Source organism: Homo sapiens, chromosome 8, assembly GCF_000001405.40.
Source record: "Homo sapiens chromosome 8, GRCh38.p14 Primary Assembly".
Taxonomy (NCBI): Eukaryota; Metazoa; Chordata; class Mammalia; order Primates; family Hominidae; genus Homo; species Homo sapiens.
In genome coordinates, this window is record NC_000008.11 from 135,459,761 (window position 1) to 135,484,541 (window position 24,781).

A 24,781-nucleotide genomic window follows, 5' to 3' on the forward strand; every position below is an offset into this window, starting at 1 on the left:
TAAAACGTCCAAAATTCTTTTGGATTCTGTGTTTTTACCAGTGTTAATGGCTTCCAGTTACTTGAAACAGATATTTACTGGGGAAATGTTGCCATTTAGTGTTTTTTAGGTATTCAACTTGATAAACTTACTTTTCATAGAAGTAATTCTTATAAGAAGTATATTTCTCACATGTGAAGGAAGGAGGAGGTGCTGCTCAGAATCTTGTCTTACTGTTAGTTTAGATGACTTCAGACTGAAACATTTTTCTCTTAAATCACAGGCTGATATTCGGAATGCAGAGCTTTATCATTTAAAACATTAATTACACGCTTATGTAACTGCAAAATTACAAGTGTTTTAAATCTGAAGCTACATGATTGTGAGGAAGCTTTGATTTTAAATCCAACCATCTTGTTATGGGCTATTTTTTCTTATTTAGTTATATTTGTGTTTGCCTCTAATGCAACTGTGTTTTCAGCAGTTATTCACATTGGAGTTGGTATTTCAGCACTAAATTGTAGAATGGGCCAGCATGGCAAACCTTAGCGTGCCATGTAATAGATATGTTTTATGGTATCTCTAAACTCTAACAAGGCCTTACATTTGCATAGTATTTTAAAGTTTCCAAGGCACTAGTTTTGTCCTCACACTTGCATTCCGGTAAGGCAGATGTTCATGTCTTCTCTTTTCAGGAAGGCAGCTGAGGATCCCAGCTATCTAAGCTTTTGGGCAACTGAGATTTAATTTGAAATCTCAGGTCTTCTGTCTCTGAAGAGGTTGTTCTTTCTTATTTTGGCTTCCTAAAATGTTGGAATGAAATACTTCTCACTTGCTAACTTCAGACCCTGCAGAAATCAATATAATTAGTATGATTGTTTCCAACTGACTTAAATGTGTAGGAAATAGTATATATCCTTTAGGAAGTTTATCCTGATTTTTACAGAAAGTTTCTGTCTGCACTTGCCTTCTTTGAAGAAGCAAACATTCACGGTAGATTTATCTTCCAGGATTTTGATGCTGAGGCCAAGAGGCAGTTTTGAATTAAAGCCCTCCTGTGACTAGTGTATTAGTTTAATAATCAATGCATTATGATAATGAAGCAGTTTATAGATGAGGTGTAGTCGTTCTTTAAAAATTCAGTGTTCGTAAAGATTGATCAACTTCCTAACTGAATTACTCTTTTTCTTTCTTGAGCTAGGATGACAATAAGAGATATACTCCTGTCTGGTATACATTGGCTTTTATATTTTTCCAGACTTGTGTTTCATCGTGGGCACTGATTGCTGATTTTATTTTCATTTTACCAGAATAACTGGTTCTCCTCCTCCACCTCCTAAATGAATTTGTTTCCCGAATATTTATTTATTTATTTTTTTGAGACGAAGTTGCCCAGGCTCTGTTGCCCAGGCTAGAGTGCAGTGACACAATCTAGGCTCACCGTAACCTCTGCCTTCTGGGTTTGCGCGATTCTCCCGCCTCAGCCTCCCGAGTAGCTGGGACTGCAGGTGTGCGCCACCATGCCTGGTTAATTTTTGTATTTTTAGTAGAGACGGGGTTTCACTGTGTTGGCCAGGCTGGTCTCGAACTCCTGACCTCGTGATCTGCCTGCCTCAGCCTCCCAAAGTGCTGGGATTACAGGTGTGAGCCACCGTGCCTGGCCTCTGAATTTGTTTCTCTAACAAAATTAGTGGTTAATGTTTATTTGATGTTAAAAGTCAGTCAAAGAAAATAGGCTTTGGGATCCCACTCCGGACCCCGCCTTGGTGCCTGTAGGGTGAATTGACATTGCAATTCTTGCCAAGGAGAGGTTAATTGCAGATGAAAGTGGTGTTGCATGTTTTATATTTGCTAGTAGGGGATGTGCTGACTCTTACTAAAAAACATCTTTAGAAATGTCTTATGCATTATAATTTAATCCAAGTCTCTGATATTGGTTTGGATGGTTTTCAATACAAGCCAAGTAACCATTAAATAAGATTACATAACACTGTATTTTTAATTATCTGATATAATGTATGGATTGGTGGCTGGCTCACTGCCAAGTTACATTTAGTTGTCGTTGATTACAAGAGAAAGTGGAGCTGAGGATTCAAGATTAAGGTGGTCCAGATTTGTGTCTAGGTTGATAAAAGTTTTTTGTTTGTATATCAAAATGGTTTTTATATCAGTTTCTCAAATATTACAATTCTTAGCATTACTTAGAATAAATATGGAGGATAAAAATATATTAAGGAAGGATTATTATTTTATGTACATCTCTTTGTAATCCACAAAACCCAGGGGCTTAAAACTTGATTTTTGGGGACCCCTTTTGGAAAACATTTCGGATTTGCTTGAATGTCACAGACTTGTAAAGTAGAGAGTAAGAATGAGAACTGCAGAACTGTATTTAGGTATGGTGCCTTCATGCTATAGTTTGTGATTTTCTGTTTCATCCAAAGGAGGATGTGATTATTTAGTTTTTAGTTTTTTATTGTTTTTCTTTGTGTTATCAGTTTTTTTTTTTTTTTAAGAAAATGCGATCACTCACAGTGTTAGATATGCCATTTCTGAGTTTTATACAGTGTATTATGATTAAAAGTGACCCAGTGATTGTGAGTTACAGGGTTTTGGTATTGGACATTAGTAACAGGCTTATAGAGAACCTGCCATGCTGGTTCTCTGTGTTGGGTCCCAGGGGTAGGGAGGAAAAACAGTCTGCACTGGTGAGAAGCTCCTGCTCTCCTCTGTGTGCGTTTGAGAATGAATTTTCGGTTTGTAGATGCCCTCTTTCCTAAGGAACATCTTAGTCCTTCAACTATGCTGAAATATTTAATGATTGGATGGCTTAGATTTACTGTTAATAAATCAGCTTGTGGACATTTTTGAGGCACTTGTTGGTACTGGGTCATGTTTGTAATCTCGATACTGGTAACAGCTCAGAGATGGAGAGGTTATTAGCCTAGTTTTTCAGTTGTAGAAACCAAGATTCTGACAGCTAAAGTGACTTGCCCATGGTGACATGCTTATAATAAAATGTCAGAGTGAAGGGTCAAGCTTTGTTCTTTTACAGGTCCATTGTTCTTTTTACCATGTCCTACTGACTCTCAGTAACACTGAGAGTCTAAAGGGCTAAGTTACTGGCCAACCTGTGATGGTATAATTAGTGAATGATAGAAGGAGAATCAAAACCCTGGCTTTTTTATGTGCAGTTTGTTTTTCCTCTAGCCTGTGCTGAATTGAAAGATAAATTATATAGCATCCATTTTCATACTTCATTCTTCACATTTCTGCCCTAAGATAAGTCCTCTGACCTTTTTCAAAATGGGTTGGATTGCCTGTTTTCTGGTGTCACATAACACCTGGTGCTCTTACGGTGTGATCCTCATCACACTGCTTTGTTTGGATCTTTGTCTTTCTTGGTAAAGAGTGAGTTCCTCGGAAGACAGGGCCTGGTCTTTCCTCTGTATCTTCAGCACCTAGCATACGTCTGAGCACAGGGCCCTTGGGAACTCCTGTCTTCATTTCAGTGTTACGTGTTAATTATCATTAAGGGTAGCAGAATCAGAAAGTATATTTGGAATTTAGCAGTCAGTAAAGAGCTTTGCTTCTTACAGCTTTAGAGGACCTGAATTGGAGGTGGGGATGAAGTCAACAGTTCTGCCCATATCAATGAAAGAAGGTTCTGAGTGAAATGCAGGGTTGAACAAGCAGAAAAGCATCCCAGTGCTCTTTAAATGTGGTTGCACAGTAGGGATCCTTCTCTAGGAGATAATGAGAAGATGTTGTCAGATCTGCTTTGAATCAGATGTTTATTTACTTTTATTCTTTCTTAAGGAATTTATGAAATCACTGCACTCTCATCAATTTGCTCTCCTTCTCTAAACTCCTAATGATATTTCTCATGACAGATTAAAAACAGAATTTTGGAAGCCCTAGTCACATGCCAAATAAGGTTTCTTACCTGAGAGAGTTATCCGCAGTTTCAGATGCCAAAGGGAAACTCCGAAAGCCAGAGGAGCGATTGAAACCGCAAATTGAGTGCCAACAGCAACTTTGATATCAAAAGCCCCATTTGCCTGTTGTCACCAGTCCCGCTGAGTGAAGATAGAATGACTTATATCTTCTACCAAAACAATAGAAGGAGAGTGTTCCTTGGCGTTGGGGATGATGATTATAAAAGCCACCAATTTGAGGCTCTTCCGTGCCAGCTGCTTTCTGTGCATTCTCTCCCATCCCCGCAAGATCTTGCAAGGTAGGAGGTTTTATTCCCTGCGTGCCTCCTTTATTTTTTTCAAATGAGGCCTCTAAGGCTCAAAAACACTAAGTAACTTGCCCAGTCAAGGTACACAGCTTATAAGTAGTCAGGCTGAAATTTTAAACCAAGTCTGCAGTATTTTGTTAAGATACTTTAAGAAAAGAGGTAAAAGGACAGAACTCAACATTGTTGTTTTTAAATAAATGTTTCATTATAGCAGAAGCCTCTTAGGAATTTCCATTGGTGATGAATTTTTAAAAGGGGTTACTGAAAATGTGTTTTACCAAAAAGGCAAGCTCACTTTTTTTTCTCCTGTGCTCTCCGGCAGTCTTCAGTAGGCATTCAAAGTAAGGATTTTTAAATATGTATATATTTCAGTGACCAAAAAGAAAATAGAAAAATATTCCATATAGAAAGCCAGTGAAATTCTTGCTGAAGTTCTGTCTCTTGAGGGAGCCTCCTAGAGGTGCAGTGCTCTTTGTATTTTAATACTTTGCTTATCACAAAAACAGTCGAGAGTATGATATCAGGGATTTATAGTCAGTTTATGGTATATTTGTGAATTCTTCATTCTCTAAAAATAGGTTCACAAAAGAAAAAAAAGTATTCCCACAGATAATGCTTTTGGCTTTCTGGAAGGGGGGAATATGTTTAAATATACTTGCCCTGCAGTTGCTAATGATAGTAGCTACCATTTATCAAGAGCCTTTTCTGGTTTACGTGCTTTATGTATGTTATTTCATTGAATTAGTTTAACAGTCTTAAAAGAGTAAGTCATTTTACCTTATTTTATAGATGAGAAAACCGAGGTCAGGAAGGTCACATAATTTGCCTAAGAACACATAGCTAGTAACTGGTGAATCAGGATTCAGATCTTTGTCTGCCCAACACTATGACACTATGTAGGGCACCTGTTAGCATCAGATAGAGGTGGAAGCTTTGAGTATGTCTTGTTTTTCATGTTTTACTTTTGTGGGGAATTTGGATTATGCAGCTCTTCAAATTACATGCCTAGTATTGGACTGGGTGAGCAGGGCAGTTGCGTACCATACAGAGGGCACACAGGGGCATGGCAAAACGGCATAGGAACTTTCTGACCAGTGGCAACATCTGGTAGGTAGCATTTACTTGGGAAACAGTGTTAACTCAACAAGGAATGAGCTGGTGCAGAAAGAGCCATGTGATTACAGGTGACAGCTTTCTAGTCTGTAATCCCCTGCAAGTTACTTTATTTCTCAGAGCCTCAGTTTCCCCATCTGTGAAATTGGGGACCTTATGCCTTCTTTGTAGGGTTGCTGTTTTAGACGTAAGTACAGTGTCTAACACATAGTAGGTGCTTAATAAACGTTACCTGCAATTTTTATAAAATGTTGTAAGACAGATGTGTGAGTATCGACATCACTTTTCAGATATAATGTATATAATACAAATTCAATACATAAATCATCTACTTTCATTTCTTAGGGTAATTTTATGTTGTTAGAATTATTTTAGTTTTCCAATCCAGGAAATATTGAAGGAGAAATTCAGTCTTTAGGAAGCTTCTTTCATTAATATCATGCACAAAATTAGCAGCAGCTCTGATTGATTTTTATTATGCTATTCAAGACACAGCACCTGAAGCTTAAATTAACAAATGAAGCTTCCATAAACAGTTTTAAGACTGCATATCTTAAAACATGTCTGGACACCCAGCAGCCTCTTTCCACAAGCACAAGATACCTTACTCTGAATTGGTAAGCTGTAAATTTCCATAATTTTTTACATTTCCATAATTTTTCGTCAATCAGCCCCTGCTGCTATTTTAAGAATTTTAAAAGGTGCTCCTAGCATATTATTGATGTTCTTCGTTGATATGATAAAGGGCAAGAGTATGTGAGGGCACCCTTTTAAATGTCTGTTTTCGATATATATCTTACACTTGGGGTCACTGTTGATTCGTGCTCCCATGGGAGAAAATATAGAAATTATGATGAAGATAAGGGGCAGTTTTCATTTTCAACATTTTTCCTTGTTCTTTCTCTGCTTCAATGTTTGTGCCGTTTGTGCTCTGCTTTTCTTCCACTAGATGGCGCTCCACATAGCTAGGTTACCTTCTTTCTTTCGCATTGGTAGCTATTTCTGAACTGAGTCTTGATCAATAAACGTGCATTGCTTTTGATTTTCATGCATTGGTATTTTTCATATTATTGATCTCTTAAGAGGCATACTTGCTAATCAATATTTGCAGAAAGCCATGCCTTTTTTTGTAGCCACCATTGCTCAAGCGCCTGAGGTATGCCTGGCACTGTAGCTAGGTTCTTCACACATTTCTTCATTTAATCCATGACTTTCACGTGAATTTAGTTTTGTTGTTCTCATTTTACAGGTAAGAAGTGGAGGTTAGAGGGATTTATAACTTGTTCGAGGTCACAAAGCTAACTTATATTATAGGGATTAGTGTGCCCTAAAGAAAAGTATACTCCAAAAACATTAAATTGAAAGCTTTTGTCAAATAACTTGTTAGGATAGTCTGACTTACGGTTACTGGCCATGGTAATATGTTTATTTTGGGGGAAAATTATACTCCTCACAGTTAATTTGCTTTGGAATATATAAATCAAATTCCCAAATCTGATTTGTATAAGAAAGCACACAACAGTAACAAAAGATTTGTCAGTTGGTGTGCAAATTTCTGCTTCCTCTTGCCTTCTGTTTACTGACTTGAGTGGGCTGAGACTTGATGAGTACTAGCTATAAAATGTGGGAGGAATTTTGGACAAAGCCAGGCTTCCTGTTTTAGTAACTTTTAGCAGGGCTGAATGCTGTTAACAAGTCCCCAGGACTTAAAAAATTTATCCTTTCATTTTATTCATTTATTCGACACATATTTGTTGAATTGCTGAGTTGACCTGTGTGTTCTGGACCATGACTTTACCTCACTGAGCCTCTATTCCCTCATCTGCACATGGCAGGCAGGATGCCACCTCAGTGGTTGTCATACATTTTAAAATAACTAAAAGAGTATAATTGGATTGTTTGTAACAGAAAGGATAAATGCTTGAGGTGAGGGATACCCATTTCCCTGATGTGGTTATTATGCATTGCATGCCTGTATCAGAATATCTCATGTACCCCATAAACATGTACACCTACTGTGTACCCCCACAATTAAAAATAAAAATTAAACAAGATTAAATGACAGTGGTTTCGTATTTGTTTAATTTCACTATAAATTTTTAACATAGAATATATTCGTTGTATCTAAGATGAGATTATTACACATATATTTCTGTTCCTCATATATTATCTTTTACAAATGAATACTTAAATAACTTGACATGTATTTATTAAAAATAAGGGCCTTCCCTTTCATAGCTGTCATACAATGATCCAAATTAGGAAGTTTAACAACCACACAGTGCTGTTATCTCATCTACAGTTCACATGCTGATGGCACCAGTTGTTCTGGTTTTGTCTTTTACAGGACCCAAGTCAAGATCACACATTTCGTGTAGTGTCAGGCCTCTTTAGGGTTTCAGTTTGCAGTAGCTGCTTTGTCCGCCTTTGCCTTTCGTGATAGGCATTTTGGAAAACTATACAAAAACTATACAGGCCAGTTTTTTGTAGAATGCTTCTCCATTTAGGTTGTCTGATGTTTCCTTAAAATTAGATTTGTGTCACACACTGTCTTGGCAGGAATGCCACCGAGGTGATGGTAGGTCCCTCTCAGCCCCTCGTACCCGGGCACACCACGTCTGTGTCGTTACTGGTGAAAAGTTCAATCACTTGGTTAAGGTGGTGCCAGTTTTCTCCTCTGTGAAGTTACTACTTTCCTTTGGTAATTAATTAATACTTCTGTGAGGAGATACTTTAAGACTATGTAAATAAATATCCTGCTCCTCATTAAACTCTCCCTCACATCTTTTAGATCCATTAACATTTCTTACCTGAATTATTACTGTGATGGTTGTAAAATGGTAATTTTCCAACAGTCATTCCATCTACATTTATTGGTTGATATTCTACTGAAAAGGAATCTTTTCTGCTCCTTCTTTCTCCCTCTTTCTCTTTTTCAATCCCTCTCTCCCTCTTTGTTATTCAGTCGTATCTGTCTTCTAAATTCATGCATTTTTCTTTAATTCAGTGGGTTATAATCCTTTACTATCACCGTGTAAATTGAAGCTCACATTGTTTAAGATTTGGCCATTGAGGGCCCTTTGCTCTGGCTCCTGGGTCCATTTGAGAGGATCATCCCCTAAATTGGCTTAGTATTTTTTTAATCTCTGTAACAGCAACTTGTTCTCTGCTTATCTTGTTCTTGCTCTGCCCTAGCCCTCAAATGAGCCATTTTCCCCAAAGGTGCCCTGGTTTCTTTTAGTGTGGAATGTTGTTTAGAAGCCAAGATCTGGGTGCTGGTAGTCATTGCTTTCAGGCTCTTTCATGGACAGCTGGGAAGTAGATACCTATCTGTAGCTGTACCTTCATTGTCTTTATGCGAAACTCTACGCCTAGGGACAGCAAACTTTTTCTGTAAAGGCTAAAGAGTAAATAGTTTGTGGGCTGTGCATTCTACTCAACCTCTGCTGTTGTAGCAGAAAAGCAGCCACAGACACTATGTAAATGAATGAGAATAGTTGTGTTCTGATAAAACTTTATTTATAGAAACAGGCAGTGTGCCATGGGCTGTGGTCTGCTTACCCTTCCCTGCTCTCAGCAGAGAAACTAGGAGCCCAGGCTTTATTACCAAACTTGGTAAAATTCATTTGTACCCATGCCTTCCAAAATAGGGGCACAATAAAAGTTATTTGCATGAATGAATTAATGATAATTGTGGGCTCTTTCTATTGCAGACCTCTCATGGCTCTTTTGGACATCAGTCTCTTATGACTTGTCAATTTGTTCAGGTCCTTGTTTAAAGATGAGAGGCTTTTAGAAACATAATGTGCACAATATGCAAAATAATACTGAGAAAAATGATTTTATAAACTCGTGAGGGTATTTTTCTTGTCATGATGAAATAGTTACCTTTCCCTAATGAAAGCATATCTCAAGGCATAGCCATACTGCAGGCAGAGCACATGGCCCCTGCTTTGGTCTGGTGTTGCTGCATTCTGCATAGGGTCAGCTGAGAGGCACGACTCCAGCACCAATCAATTGGGTGAAAAATTTCAAAATTATACCCCTTTTATTGTCTCAGAACTGTGTTTCTTCACAGTTTTCTTTATGTAATTTATTGCTCTAATTCATTCAAAAAAGGATTTTATTACAGCAGTGAGAAATCAGGGAGTGATCCCATTCTCAGAGAAGAGTATGCCATTAGGAAGGACCGTCTGTTTTTTTTGAGACGGAGTCTCGCTCTGTCGCCCAGGCTGGAGTGCAGTGGCGCGATCTCGGCTCACTGCAAGCTCCGCCTCCCAGGTTCACGCCATTCTCCTGCCTCCTCAGCCTCCCGAGTAGCTGGGACTACAGGCGCCCGCCACCACGCCAGGCTTATTTTTTGTATTTTTAGTAGAGATGGGGTTTCACCATGTTAGCCAGGATGGTGTTTTTTTTTTGTTTTGGTTTTTTTTTTTTTTTTTTTTTTTTGAGACGAGTCTCGCTTCTTCACCCAGGCTGGAGTGCAATGGCGCGGTCTTGGCTCACTGAAACGTCTGCCTCCCAGGTTCAAGCAATTCTCCCGCCTCAGCCTCCCCAGTAGCTGGGATTACAGGCATGTGCCACTATTCCCAGCTAATTTTTGTATTTTTAGTAGAGACAGGGTTACACCCTGTTGGCCAGGCTGGTCTCAAACTCCTGACCTCGTGATCCACCCGCCTTGGCCTCCCAAAGTGCTGGGATTACAGGCGTGAGCCACCGCGCCCGGCCAGGACCACCTATTGTTAATGCACAGAGACTGCCATCAAGGTGATGTCTGACACTGGAAAGAAACCAAGCGCTAGAGTACATCGCAGCCGATGCCAGCAGCTTGAGCATAAAGATGGAGGTTCATTCTGTTTAATGTGTCTCTGATGACTCTAAAATAAATTAGGCTTTAATTACTGCTTAAATTTTTATTTAATTTCAAAAATTCAAAAGTCGATTTTAAACCTGTTGGTGCGTAGCTTCTTTGGTGTTCAGCAGGCTATTCGTCTTCCTCTCTGTGAGAAGCAGCATGAGGTTCTGCTTGCTCCTTTCTCTAGAATCCAAAGGAGTGGTTTAACGTTCTGGGTCACAAAACAATCCTTGGATCTGTGGAGCATCCTGGCGTGCTGATAAAGGAAACCGAGCAGGCTTCTTTCCTCCCGTGGCTTTTATCTTCTGGGTCTTGAAGTGCCTTATAAGATTTTGATTTAACAAGTTTTACTGGTTTTTTTTTGTTTTAACGTGAGAAGTACTAAAGTGTCTCTTTCTCTCTTAGGCTCATTAGGAATGTCTCCTTTTTGACATGCTGCCCATCGTTTGGTGTACCACCCATTCAGAACCAACAGCGATAATCCCCTGCCCTGTGTTACACGGTTTCTAATAGCTTCAGAGAATAAGGAGACAAAAAAAGCCATGCCATTAACAGTCGATTGATTGTATTCTGGATTGTATTTTTCTCATCCCTTTTTCCCCCTTGGTCAGGGTTTTGCTGCTTTTTTTTTTTTTTCTTCTTCTTTCCCTGAGACAGAGTCTTACTGTCTCACCCAGGCTGGAGTGCAATGATGTGATCTCGGCTCACTGCAACCTCTGCCTCCCAGGTTCAACTGATTATCCTGCCTCAGCCTCCCAAGTAGCTGGGATTACAGGTGCCCGCCAGCACACCCAGCTAATTTTTGTAGTTTTAGTAGAGACGAAGTTTCACCATGTTGGCCAGGGTGGTCTTGAACTCCTGAGCTCAGGTGATCTGCTTGCCTCGGCCTCTGAAAGTGCTGGGATTACAGGCGTGAGCCACCCCGCCCAGCTGGGTTTTGCTTCTTAAATGGGCGAAGGATGTGTTGCTACCTGTGGAAATAGTAAGCTTGAATAGCTTCAGTTTCTTCATCTGTAAAATGGTCATGAGAGAATCTGTGTAGCATGTCTGGTGTATCTGTAAGTACTCAAAAGTTAATTAGGTGAGTAGGACAAGTTTTCTTGTTTTCCTCCTTCATGGAGCCCAGCATGGAATACTAGGCCCAGAATTGATACTCGTTGTATACTCCTTGAAATGTTAACTTAGAAGAATGTGCGTGAATTCTTGTCTCACCTGTCTTAGGTAGGGCACCATGTTACTTCCAATAAAAGGTCCATGGCAGAAAGTAGTCTTTTAGGTTTGGAGAGTGAACATTAAGGCAAAAGAGTAGCATAATCTATTCAGGCTTCAGACTTTTAGACCCTTTCAGGAAATCACTATTTATAGACTTCTGGGGGAAACACCCCTAAGACTGGTTGGGTGTCTGTTTCTCCACAGTCTTTCCTACTGGATTGGAGAAGTTGCTGTTATTTCTCCCCTTGTTCAGTAAGGATCACATGCTTAGGCTGGGCTAAGTGCTGGGATGCAGAGCAAGCTAATACTTTATCCCTGCTTAAAGAGTGTTCAGCTCAGTGGGGAAGTGGCCAAATTAAAAGACATTTATATTGTGGGGTGGAAGGGCTGTAATAAAGACAAGTGCACACGGCACTGTGGTGCTGCATGGAGCTTTGTTATTCCGATCTGGTGAGGGAGTGGGCACTTGTGTGTGACTCCTCACATAGTGGTAGAAACGTCCTGGGCTCCAGAGTGTGATGGAACTAATGCAAGTTCACTTCTCAGAGTCTCTCTGCTTAGTATTAAACCATGGCATCTCTGAGCTCGTAGGGCTCCCTGTCTGGCTTACAGTGTGCAGTGAATGCATCCCTGTTCTCTTCGCTCGCTCTCTGTGTGCCAGCTACTAGTGTAGTACCATCCTCTGTGCATGCAACATTGCATTTATCACACTGCGATCGTGATGTTTGGGTGGGAGTTCTTTCTCCAATGAGAATCCAGCTGCCTTACAAGCAGGGAATCTGACTCATTACCTTTGATTCCTTCTCCAGTGCTCAGCGTGGTGCCTGGGAGATAGTGGGCACTCAGTGTGTGTAGAATGAATAGCCAGTTGGTCTCAGCTTCCTCATTGTGGATGACAGCAATGAATTCATTCTTTCAGAATGCAAGTGAAAGAAGATTGAAAAAGTGTTTTCTCTTTATTAGAACTTCCGGATACTGATTTTGAGGAGAGATCTGCCATTTTTCAGATAGGTGTACCAAGAGTGTTCACTCTATGGCAGTGTGGGCACTAGCCTTGGCTCTGGTACTCAGACTCAGTTGGAGGTACCCCTCTGTCACGGAAGAGTTACTGGGCCCACGTACATACCTTCACTGCTCTAAACTCCAGGTTTTCACTTTGTAAAATAGGCACGACACTACCTCCCAGACACCAGACACACGATGAGGATTCAGTGACCTGCATCAAGATGGTGCCTACTAGACTCCAGGCCCTAGAGAGCTGGGGCATTTATCCTTGCTGGGTCTCCAGTGCCCAGAGCTGTGTCTGAAATGCAAAAGACAAACTGTGTTTGTTGAATGAATGACGTATGTGAAAGCTCTTCCTAGCAGTCTTATTTGGAGAATAAAGCTAATGCAGGAATGTGTGGAGAAATGGGACAAGAGGATTAGACAGGGACTAGGATGAAGGGCCTCATGCATGGCTAAGGAGTGCAAATGTGTTTTAAGGTTCTGGATCACAGCTGAAGGATGTCATGCAGGAGAATGGCGTGCTCAGCTCTGTTCTAGATGGATCGCTTGTGGGTACTGAACAGGGAGGTTGAAACGTTTTGTATTATGTGAGTTTAGAATTACATGTGGTCTTTCTAGACACCAGCCTTACTAAAATGCATTGCCCTGACTTTGAAGTTGTGGCTGAGGATGAGATCACTCAGGGAGTGTGTGGAATCAAAAGGGAAAGGACAGGGGAGGGATCCTTGTGGCTCTATCACCATTGAAAGGTTGGTCAAAGGAAAAGAATCCCTCAGTTCTTCCTTTCCTTGCTTACTTAGCATGACTAAATAAAAAGTTTACTGAATTCTGTAAATTACACCTAAAACTGTTTATTTGAAAAGTTTTTTTTTTTTTTTGGTGATGCATTTTTTAAGTAGGAATCTTAAAACTCATTACTTCCAGTGATGCTTACCTGCATGCTTCTTGAGCCATAAGCTGATGAGAATTTGGAGGAGAGACCTTTGGTACAGAGAGCTCAGCAAGTGTGGTGGAGTAGCTGGGGTGTCACAGGCTCCTCCGTCCGGAAAGCTTCCTGGCTCCTCAAAGCTTCTCTTCATTGGTGACCACGTGGCTTCCAAATTGACTTGGACTTGGTTCACACTTTCCATTTAGACGACGCGCTTTGTGGCTTCCCATCCACACCAGCACATGCATGCTGAAACTGCTGCTTTCGTTCTGAATGTTTTTGGTTAGTGTTGCTACTTCTGGTAGTGGTTGGACTTAGATCTTCATGTCCTGAATATGAATCCTGTTGCTTGATGAGGGTCTAGGTCATGCCTCGGGGGTACTCTGAGGATATGTGTGGAGTGCAGAGACAACATTCTAGACAGATATACACTTTTTATTATTAACAAACTTTGGCCACAACCTTTGATGTATAAATTGCCGGATTTCCCCAGTCCTTTCATTGTGGCTTTGGACAGGAGCAGGCTCACTTGTCTGCTTCAGGCTGCCTTTCTCTTGGGTTGCACCTCAGTTCTTACTTATTTATTTATTTTGAGTGGAGCATAGGGGCCTCTTCCAAAATGGGTAGAGCTCAGGGGCTTTCTTATTGAAATGGTCACATGATAAAAACGGGCTGAAAAAGGAGAGTTCCAGGAGAAAAGCCCAGAAAAGGGCCCCTCCTCAGAAGACAGCCTTTAAGCCTCTTGCTTACTGAAGGAAGCCCCACCTTCTAGCACTGAGGCCGGGTCTGATCTTCCAGAGGAGTTGGAGGAGTCCATGAGAATGGCCACCATTCTTGCTTGCTGCTGCTGATGTTGCAGTTTTGAGAGAACAGCGGGATCCTTGTTGTCCTCTAGAGACTTGAGTCTGTCACTGACATTTTTTCAGTTCCTTTGCTCATAGACCATACGAGGAATTAGTGATGTGTCAGTTGAGAGTTCACAATCTCATTGTTCATTTAATTCACTTTAAAGTTGTCAATTTCTGTGTGAGTAACCTGTAAAAGACACCTTTCCAGAAGAGTTTTGCCGTCTGTTTGAAAAAAAAATCTTTATAAACTTTCCTAAGTATCTGGATTTGGATTCCTTATTTGGAGAGAAAATGTTGGCCCCAGCTCACATCACATTTACATAAATAAAGCAGTATTTCTTCTGATTAAACCAAATCCCAATATTCACAAGAGATTTCATACCACCAACTTTGCCTTGAAGCCTGACACATGCAGTATGCATGAATCGAACCAGATGCCCAGTGGAAGTATGCAGTATGTCTTGTTTAGTTTCTAAGAATTCAGACTTCATTTGAGTTGGCTGATTCTCCTAAACTCAGGTACTTCTGTGCTATGCGTTATCTCTTATTTAACACCATTGGTCCAAAATGTTAATGAGCCAGTTTATATTGTTTAATAGTCTCTAAATTCTTTGTGGCAAGTCCTTGAAATCAAGCACTGTTAAGAAGATCACTCAATTTAGTTTAATAAGAAGTTGTATTCTTAAGAGATTTTATTTTAGAATGAGGTGTATCTGTGTAGGAAAAAAATGCTTTTTCTTTTTTCAAGTTTCAGATTCAGATGTTCTCTGAGACCTATTTGAAATAAGATGGAAAAACAAAGTGAGAGTGTATTGGTTTTCTATGGCTGCCATAACAAATTGCTACAAATTTGGTGGCTTTATGACCATGGGGTCCTGGAGCTCAGAAGTCCGCGTGGCTCCCACTGGGCTCATGTTACGGTGTGGGCGCTGCTGTGCTCCTTTCTGGAGGCTTCAGGGGAGAGTCTGTGCCTGAGCTTTCCAGCTCTGGAGGCTGCTTACATTCCTCGGCTTGTGGCCCCTTCCTCTGACTTCATAGCCAGCAACTCCAGGCTGAATGTTTTCGCTCTGCCATTTCTCCGCTCCTCTCTCTTCCACCTTTCTTTTCCATTTGTAAGGTCCTTTGTGCTGACATTGGGCTTACCTGGATAATCCTGGATAGTCTCCCTATCTTAAGGCTAGGTGGTTACTAACTTAGTTCCATCTGCAGCCCTAATTCCCCTTTGACATGCGACTTAACATTTACAGGTTCTGGAGGTTAGTATGTGGATGTCTTTAGGGGAGCCATTATTCTGCCTACCACAGAGGTATGACTGTGTGTGGCAAAAAACTGTTTATCAAGTACCTAGTGTATCTTCAGCCTGTTTTGTTTTGGTTTTTGAGACGGAGTTTCGCTCTTTTGCCCAGGCTGGAATGAAGTGGTGTAGATCTCGGCTCACGGCAACTTCCACCCCCTGGGTTCAAGCAATTCTCCTGCCTCAGCCTCCTGAGTAACTGAGATTACAAGAGCCCACCACCATGCCCAGCTAATTTTTGTATTTTTAGTAGAGACGAGGTTTCACTGTGTTGGCCAGGCTGATCTTGAACTCCTGACCTCAGATGATCCACCCTCCTCAGGCTCCCAAAGTGTAAGGAGCATAGGTATGGGGGCCACCACATCTGGCCTTCAGTCTGGTTTTAAATCTCAAATTATACATCAGCGGTCCTAGAGACATTAAGTGACTTGTCATTGTCACATAATTATTAATAATAATGATCTGTGATTTGTTGAGTTCTTGCTAAGTGTCAGATACCATACCAGGACATTTATAGACCATATTTTTCCCAACCTCAATATATCCCTCTTAGATGCATGACATAAATTCCATTTTACAAGTGAGAACACAGGCTCTTCTGGAAGTTGTGACTGATGCAGTGTCACATGGCTAGCTGATAACCAAATGCTTTGGACTTCATCAGTCTGATTCCCAAACCCATGCTGTTTCTACTAAATTACAGTAGATTAAAATGGAGGGGCCTTATGGAGTTACTTTGTCTTGCCTCCCACATCACAGTGCAGTCTTATCTGGACAATCTGTGTAGTATTCAGAGTGCCTGTCAGGGTATTTGTCAGGTTGTTTGGTATCATATGTCAAAATGACCAGGTAGTTAATTAATTGACTTGACAAATTTTCTTTGTTTTCCTTCCATCTTCCCACTTTTTTGTTTTTTTTGAGATGGAGTCTTGCTCTGTCACCTAGGCTGTAGTGCAGTGGTGCAATCTTGGCTCACTGCAACCTCTGCCTCTTGGGTTCAAGCGATTCTCCTGCCTGAGCCTCCTGAGTAGCTGGGATTGCAGGTGCACACCACCACGCCCAGCTAATTTTTGTGTTTTCAGTAGAGATGGGGTTTCACCATATTGGTCAAGCTGGTCTTGAACTCCTGACCTCGTGATCCACCCACCTCGGCCTCCCAAAGTGCTGGGATTACAGGCATGAACCACGGCGCCCGACCCCCATTTTTATTAATAAGAATATATTGTGCTCCTCTTTAACTGCTGCATTTGTTTTTCCCCCAAACACTGTCTTCTCATCTTAACACACTGCAGTTTGGGAAATGGAAATCATTATCCTTGCACTTGCTTTTCCCTCTGCCTTTTCGTGCTAGGTGTGTTGTATTATCTAAAGCACCTTTTAGGTAATAACACTGTTACCATTGAGTAGATGGGGAAACCGAGCATCAGAAAGGCTAACTAACTCTCAAGGTTATGTAGTATGTAGTAGAGCAAGAACTTCAATTTGTGTCCATTTGGTTTCAAGGCTCTGTAGCTCATGGCCTCAGAAACTTTTCACATTAGGTGGGTAAAAAATATATAAAAATATAGAGTAAGGATAAAAAAGGTAAATGACATTGAAAGATGGGAATAGAGGAAATGTTGAAAGTATAGTGACTTATTTGCCAAGTGAATTTTACCAGCAATTGATATAGTAGAAGTTCAGAAGAGAAAGATTATTTTAGGCTGTGGTCATTGTTGATGGCTTATGAAAGAGAAGAGATTATTATTTAATTTCCATAAAATTTATTCTGAGATATTCATAATCAGAAATAAAATATGTAATAATGACAATGATAACTACTATTTATTGCACATGCAATTCCAGGATCTGTTTTCCAGATCTTTTCATATATTATTTAATCTTTGCAATAATGTATATAGGTTACATATACAGATAGATAGATACAGCCATATATATTGATAGATAATAATTATCTTATAGATATTGTTTTGTAGATAATAAAACTAAGCCTGAGAAGTTAAATCTTAGTGTTTACTGATATGTAGCAGGGCACTATTAAAACTGAGCTCTGTTTTGACTTCAAAACCTGTGCTTTTTTTGCTGTGCTGTAAAAAGTGTATCTTATTCACAGATTTTTGCTTCCGTTCTGCATATTCAACATGGTCACTTGAAATGATTTCATAAAATATTGGAAAAATGTAGAGAAACTAAAAGTTTCTGACATAATAAGTAAACAGTTGTAAAGAATACTCAGAGAACACAAATATACATATTTAAAAGTAAGGCTAAAATGTGCTTGACTTATATTGAACCTGATGAGCTCAGTGACATGAAACAAACTAGGACTTGATTCAGTGATTTGTTTCCATTGCTGTCTGCAGTAGGTTGAATTATGGCCCCTAAACATGTCCTTATCCATTCCCCACAGTTTGTGAATGTTACCTTACATGGTAAAAGGTGCTTTGCAGAAATGATGAAAAATCTTGAGATGAAGAGAGTATCCTGGATCATTTGGGTGGACCTGTTATCACAGTGGTCTTTATAAGAAGGATGTGCAGGAGTCAGTCAGATAGGAGTATCACAACCAAACCGGATTGGCGTGATATGGCCATAAGCCATGGATGCTGCAGTTTTCAGAACAGGGATACCGTGTTCAGATGTGTCCTCAGTATCTGTCCATGGCTTGTAAGGAACCGGGTGCTCAGCAGGAGGTGAGTGGCTGGTGAGTGAGCATTACCACCTGAGCGCTGCCTCCTGTCAGATCAGCACCACCGGCATTAGAGTCTCATAGGAGTACAAACCCTGCTGTGAACTGCACATGTGAGGGATCTAGGTTGCATGCTCCTTATAAGAATCCAATCCCCTTGCACTCCTGTCTATGGAAAAATTGTCTTCCATAAAACTGGTCCCTGACACCAAAAAGGTCAGGAACTGCTGTTCTAGAAGATGGGAAGGGCAAGGAAAAGGATCGGAGCCTCTAGAAGGAATGCTGCCTTACATACCCATTTTAGATTTCTGGCCTCCAGAACTGTAAGATAATAAATACATTTTTGTTACTGTGTTAAACCACTAAGTTTGTAATAATTTGTTACAGTGACAACAGGAAACTAACACAATGGCTTTAAATAATTATGAACTTTTTAATAATAATAGTTGGAGACTTCAATACCCCACTTTGAATGATGTATACAACAACTAGGTAGAAAATTAGTAAGGAAATAGTAGATTTGAACAACATTGTAAGCCAACTAGACTCAACAGACATCTGTAGAATCTGCCCCCTGGTAACCACAGGAAATGCATTTTTCTCAAGTGCACATGAGGTGTTCTCCAGGATAGACCACATGCCAGTTCATAGAACAAGCCTCAGTGAGTTTTAAAGGATTGAAATTATGCAAAAGATATTTTCCAACCACAGTAGAATGGGATTAAGAATCAATAACAGAAAGAAATTTGGGAAATTCAAAAATATGTGGAAATTAACAAACTCCAAAATAACCAGTGAGCCAAAAAAGAACTCATAAGTGAAATTAGAAAATATTTTGACATAGATGAAAATGAAGACACTACATGTCAAAACTTAAGAGATACAACAAAGCAGTACTTAGAGGAAAAGCCCTATATTAAAAATAAAGGTAAATCTCAAATAAGTTACCTAACCTTCCATCTTAAGACACTGGAGAGCAAATGTGAAGTAAGCAGAATGAAGGAAATAACACAGGTTGGAATGGAAATTAATCAAATAAGAGAATAGAAAATTAATAGAGAAAAGTCAACAAACCGAAAGGTGGTTCTTTGAAAAGATCAACAAAATTAACAAAACTTTAGCTACATGGACTAAAAAGAAAAGAGAGAAGACTTATGTTCTGTAGATGTCTGTTAAGTGTAAAATTAGGAATGAAAACAGAGGACATTCCTTCTGACCTGATGGATACAGAAAGGATTATAGGGAATACTATGAACAACTATATGCTAATAAATTAGATACCTTAGATGAAATGGACAAATTTCTTGAAAGACACAAATAACTGAAACTTGAAAATCTGAATATACTGGTTTATAAATTGTTAAACAACAACAAAAAACCTACTCGTTAAGAAAAGCTGAGATCCAGGTGGCGTCACTGGTGAATCCTAGCAAACATGTAAGGCAAAATTCTTAATTCTTCACAAACTCTTTCAAAAATCAGAAGAGGAGGGATTGCTTCTGTCTTAGTCCTTTGGCATGCTATAACAAAATTTCTTAGACCGAGTAATTCATAAGCAACAAAAATGTATTGCTCAGAGTTCTGGAGGGTGGAAAGTCCAAGATTAAGGTGCTGAGAAATTCCTTGTCTGGGGAGTGCCTGTTCCTCATGAATGGCACCTTCTATGTGTCCTCACATGGTAGAAGAGTGAAAGGGCAAACAGGCTTTCACAAGCCTCTGTTGGCATTAATCCCATTATTCATGAGGGCAGAGCCCTTCTGACTTAATCACCTCTGAAAGACCCTACCTCTTTATACCATCACCTTGCAAGTCAAGTTTCAACATATGAATATTGCGGGGACACAAACTTTTAGACCATAGAAGCTTCCCAACTCATTCTTTGAGGCCATTATAACCCTGGGTCCCAAGTCAGAAAAAGACATCACAAGAAAACTACACATCAGTATCTCTTATGAATTTAGATGAAATCATCTTCAACAAAATATGAGCAAACCAAATCTCAGAACATATAAAAATGGAGGATTATGCACCATGACCATGTGGGATTTATCCTAGGAATGCAAGGTTGGGTTAGTATTCACAAATCAAGTAATAGAATACCTCATATCAAAAGAATAAAGGACACAAACCTCATAATCATTTCAGTGGATAAAGAAAAAAGCTTTTAACAAATTCTGACCACTTTCATGATAAAAAACACCCAACAAATTAGGAATAGAAAGGAACTTCTAAAAGCTGATAAAGTACAATATATGAAAACCCACAGGTACCATTATATTTGTGAAAGGATCAGGAACAAAGCAAAGATGTTGTCTTTACCACTTCTATTCCACATTGTCTTGGAGAGTCTAGTCAGGGCAGTTGGGCAAGAAAATAAAAGGCATACAGATTGGAAAGGAAAAGGTACAACTAAGTATTTGTAGGTGGTAATCTTGTGTATAGAAAACAAGGAATCCACTAAAAAACTACTAAAACTAATTAATTTTAGGACATTTCTCCTTCCCCCTCCCCTTTGCATTTAAATTCAAAATGGAATATTTCTTCTGATAATAAATGTAGTATATACTTTACTGGATTATAAGTTTCCAAGATTCTTGTCTGTTTTGTAGAACCCTGTGTAAGTACCACCTGTACAAATGTCTAGTACATAGAAGGCACTCTTTACATACTTGAATGAATGCTTATTATAGAAAAAAAGTGGAAGATGTAAAAAAGGTAGAAAGGAAAAAAAAGAGAAATGTGCTTTCCATAAAGCAATCAATTTGAGATAACTATTGGTTATATTTTAGACAATTTTCTTCATTCTCCATATGAAATTTTATATTAAGTTTAATATTCTGTCGTAGTCATTTTCTTAAGTCGTCAGAAAGTTGTGAATACTGTTTTTCATAGCTGTGTAGTACTTCATGTTACATATGTCATCATATTGTTAACTGATTCTTCACTAATGAGCATTTCCAATTTGGGAATTATTAATAATCCTGATTTGTCTGTCCTGTCTTTACACTCTGTCCATCTCTGTTCTTACCTTGATTGGCTTCCTAACCACCAGCATTATTCTTCTCCCTTTTCAGGTTTGCAGTTTAAAAGGTAGCAGTGCAACAAGCAAATCCAATGAAGTCATTCTTTTGTTTAAAAATTTTTCATTAGTTATCAGATTAGATCTTCAAGATTGTTTTAGGATGGTATTCACTGCCCTGCTTACCTGTCCAGTCTTATTTCTGCCACTCCTCTCTTTGACCCTGAGGTTACAATCATGCTGGATTTCTTGTCTGATTCATGAAAGCCACGATATATATATATATATATATATATATATTTAATGTAAGCCTTCTGTGTACTTTTTTTTTTTTTTAATCACAGGTGCTTTTTTATCTTATGTGCATATCAACTCATATTCTTATGGACTCAGTTCAGGTGTTATCACCTACAGGAAACTGCATTGTCACCCACTTTAAATTATGGCTTGAGTACCCACTTCTGATCTCTTAGAGCACGCTGCATACCTCTGTCATAGTCTCTGTCACACTGGATTGGAATCTTCTTTATGTCTCCCCTGTAGAGGGTATGCTTTGTGAAGGCAGGGACTGTGTATGCACGGTGCTTGAAACGAAATAGGTCTTCCATAAACGTTTATTCAGTAAATTCTGCAGTGAAGCTCTTTGTACACAAGTCTACCAGCCAAATAATTTCTTTAGGAGAGCTTTTTAGAAGGTGAATAACTAGGTCAGAGTTAATCAACATTTTAAAGGTTCTTGACTTACATCGTCGACTAACGTTGTCAAATTGATTTATAGATGAGTTGTATTAGTTACACTCTGCCATCATTGCATGTGAGCACTTAAGTGGGGCCTTCTAAATCATATTTTGTAGTAAGTTCTGTTAAGATAATTGGTGCTGTCACTGCTTGGGCCATGGCTGTTTAGGAAGATACCAAGTAGAAAGCATTTATTTGGCAGGCTTGCAGCCTGTCACCGTTTATGAGTGCTTGATAATGGGAACAAAATGTGCCAAACTAGAAAACTGAAGGTTTGGTTTTCCATTTCCCGTCCTGGTGTTTGGTTGCCTTTCAAATAGAATTTGTTGTTCCTTGATACTGTTAAATGGGCAGAGAGCTTTCTTTGGCACTCAGCATAATGATCTAAACAGTAATAGGCACACTGCCAGAATAAATGCTTTTCAGAATTTGGAAAAGCTGTTGGAGAAGCACTTCTTTCTGGTTTTCTTCTGGGTTTTGCGAAGTTAATAAAAGATGTCATTAATGTCACTGGACATTACATTAATGTATAACCTCAGAGTTGCTGATTAACTTATTATAGTGGCTAAAGTTGTCCATAGGCAGAAAGAAAAATAATTAACAATAATATATGCAGTCTTTGGATTTGCATTTGATAAAACCTGGAGTAGGATTACAGAGCATTTCCCAGTGTTGCCCTGGGAAATGGTAAATGGTAAATGGTCAGATTTTTCTTTTTTAAGCCTTAGTACGTAAGAAAAGAGGGGGAGGGTAGAATGAGCTCTTGGTTACCAGACTGGTTTCTGGAAGAAACCTCATGTTCTCTGAAATAATTCTTGATCAGTTACATGCTCAGATTGTCCTTATGCTTCTGCAGACCCAAATGTACCTACGTGTCATCTTTTTTTCCCAATCTCCATTTACTTCTTTGAGTTTTTGGGCGCGTGTGTATGCCGGGGTGGGTGAGAGGTGGCATTAGAGACTGGAAGCTTGCTGTTTGAGATGATGATTTCATTGTTTGGACAAGGGGTCTGATAGAATGGATATAAAATGGGCTCTGCAGCTATTAGCTGTGAGGATTTGGGCAAGTTAGTCTACCTCTGCAGCACTTTGCACCTCTGAAAAGTTGACTAACACCACCTAGTAGGTAGCAGGGATGTTGGGAGGTGTGTATGAAGGTCAGTGGCAGTAAATGAAGTATTTGTGAAGCACCTTATTAAACTAGTGCCTGGCCAGTAGTAGGTGCCCAACAAATGTTAATTCCTTTCTTTTTCATAAGGCTGTTTCCATCAGAACATCTAGGAAAGAACGATGTACGTAAAATAACAGGTAGTGCTTTGTTGTTCTCATGCTTATTCCTGGAGACAATATCATTATTTGTTTTTTTTGTTTCTCAGCATTTCTAGACATCAAATATCTTTCTCCACCCCCCAACCCTGTATCTCTTTTGCATTAAAAAGAAAGGTCAAAACTGAAGGGTTTTCTCTATCGAATTGTATTTATTAATTAAATACTCTTTGCAACTGGCTGATATTTGAAAGTTGCTGATTATATTTATGGACTCTTTTCTTTTACATTAAACATGTGGCACAGTGGTCTGACCTGTCTGAAAATATCTTCTTCTCAAACCAGTAATTATTACAGTTGCATTATACAGCACTGAACCCAAAGCATGATGGATTGTGGCAAGTAAACACATTCTGCTGCCATTAGTGGTTTGTTGTGGTTTGTAACTGCCCATGCTGGCTGTCATTGCCGTCAGATTGGGGTGTAGTAAGATGTTGTCATGGTGGCTATGGGAGAAAATGGAGGGAATTTTCTGCCCTTCGGAATCTGAAGCTAATTAGTCCCTGGAACTAAGTAGTATAAAGCATAGACTTCAGATTCGTACTCTGAGTTTGCATTATTCTTTACTTTTCCTTTATGAACAGAGGAGGATATTCATGTCATGAGGGTATCATATCCTTATGATAGAGGATATTTGTGTGATGAGGGCATCAGCCTTAGGTGCCTGGTTCTGTCCCCTGCATGGCTTCCTCCTGTCCATCTGCCGTCTCTTGCAGGGCTGAACTTACTCTTCCAGATTTGGAGATACTTGGAGTGTTTGATGCTTGAATCCTGTCATGACCTGCTTATTCTCTCTCCCTATCTAGGGCTGTTGGGACTGTCTGTTTCTGGGCCTGGACAGGACATTTTTAGATATGTTTAGAGCATAAATGAAGAATTCCCATTGGTTTTGATGTAAGATGACTTTGAATGTTCACTATTTTTGGAAGACAGGATAGCATGGTGATGAAGATGAGGCCTCTGGAATTGGACCGCTTAGGTTTGGGTCTGTCTTATCCCTGTGGCTTACTAGCTGTATGTCCTGGGGGAAGTAATTTAACCCCTCACTACCTACATTTCCTCAGTAAATTAGAGGTAAAATGTGGAATAGGTAAAAATAACCACCACAAAGAGTTAATGTGAAGTAATATGCTAACATATGTAAAGCATTGAGAAATAAAAATAAAATCCTAAGCCACCCAACTGACTGGGTAGACCCCTCTTGGCCAACGGGACCCCAGAAAAACTTTAAAAACTAAGTTTCCCAGCCAAGATAAGATGGAAGGCTGATCACGCCTTAGTACACTCCCTTCCTCACCATCGCTAGACCTTCTTCCCTAAGAGTTAAACAGGAACCAGCCCTGGAAAATGAAGAATGGAAGACTTTGGCTGACCCACTGCCTGACACCTGGGCTAGGCCCCTCCTCTCCGCCGGCTGTGCCTGGCAGCCACCTGGTTGTGGTTACAGAGCTTGCCTCCTGAGACCTGACCATTGCCATGAACTGGCTCTGGCCAGTTTCCAGCGGTTGCTCACAACCCGCCTCTGT

At 39.7% G+C, this 24,781-nt stretch overlaps 1 protein-coding gene across 15 annotated transcripts in view; it reads left to right on the forward strand.

The window, feature by feature from the left end:
* Window positions 1-24,781, forward strand: part of KHDRBS3 (KH RNA binding domain containing, signal transduction associated 3) — a 199,061-nt gene that overhangs the window by 2,305 nt on the left and 171,975 nt on the right. For 2 of the 15 annotated variants that reach the window (XM_047421269.1, XM_047421268.1), the window contains exon 2: window positions 3,873-4,216. The exons of the other annotated variants lie outside the window; for them this stretch is intronic. In XM_047421269.1, the coding sequence (XP_047277225.1) occupies window positions 4,129-4,216 (88 nt within the window). In that variant the 5' untranslated portion in view covers window positions 3,873-4,128. The remainder of the gene's footprint in view (window positions 1-3,872; window positions 4,217-24,781) is intronic. 15 annotated transcript variants of the gene reach the window in all.